We start from the raw sequence: 1,262 nt of genomic DNA, 5'->3' as shown, positions 1-1,262 counted from the left end.
ATGCAGGTTATAGGGCCATAGAAGAGCTACATTCCCTGACATCATTTGTAATTCTACACATACACACCTAATAGAGCTTTAGTGAGTATATTTTTCTTAAATTAATTTTTTCTACAAGTTCTAATACATTGTATTTGAAAAATATAAAAACCTAAATTTGGGAAAAGATGATTTTGACCAGAGAGATGTGGAAAGAAGTGATATATGCTTCTGATGCCTGAAAAATTAGAAATGGAACATTTGCTTAGTCCTGGAAATGAAAGGCACATGCTGAGCCTCACAGAACGCTGTATTGCTAGATTTAAACAACTTTGGCCAAAATATTCTTCCCAGGTTTTCATCTCAGATTTTTATGGTTTGAGGTCTTACATTTAATCCATCTTGAATTAATTTTTGTATATGGTGAAAAGTGAGAGTCTAGTTTCAATCTTCTGTATTATGCCTAGCCAGGTATCCCAGCACCATTTATTGAATAGGGTTGTTTCGTCAACCTTGTTGAAGATCAGATGGTTGTAGGTGTGTGGCTCTATTTCTGAGTTTTCTATTCTGTTCCATTGGTCTATGTGTCTGTTTTTGTACCAGTACTATGCTGTTTTATTACTGTAGCCTCATAGCATAGTTTGAAGTTGGATAGTATGATGCCTCCAGCTTTGTTCTTTTTGCTTAGGTTTGCTTTGAATATTTGGGCTCTTTGTTACTTCCATATGAATTTTAGAATTGTTTCTTTTCTAATTCTGTAAAAAATGACATTGGTAGCTTGATTGAGATAGTGCTGTATCTGTAGATTGCTAAAATGACAGTATGACCATTTTAATGATATTGATTCTTCCAATCCACAAGCATAAGTGGTTTGTCCATTTATTTTTGTCATCTCTGATATTTTCAGCAGTGTTTTGTAGTTCTCCTTGTAGAGATCTTTCACCTCCTAGGTTAGCTATATTCCTAGTTATTTCATTTTCCTTGTGGCCATTGTAAATGGGTTTGTGCTCTTGATTTGATGCTCAGCTTGGACATTATTGGTGTGTAGAAATGCTACTAACTTTTGAACACTGATTTTTGTATTCTGAAATCTTGCTAAAATTGTTTATCATTTGTCGTGTCTCTTCTGGATTTTGGTATTGGGATTATGCTGGCTTCACAGAATGAGTTAGAGAGGAGTCCCTTATCCTTGATTTTTTTTTGGAAAAGTTTTAGTAAAGTCGGCCTTGGCAAAAAAATTATGGTCAAGTCCCTAAAAGCAATTATGAAAAAAAAATTGAAAA

Source organism: Homo sapiens, chromosome 8 (genome assembly GCF_000001405.40).
Source record: "Homo sapiens chromosome 8, GRCh38.p14 Primary Assembly".
Lineage (NCBI taxonomy): Eukaryota > Metazoa > Chordata > Mammalia > Primates > Hominidae > Homo > Homo sapiens.
The sequence above is the reverse complement of the archived record's forward strand: the minus strand, read 5'-3'. Positions refer to the sequence as shown.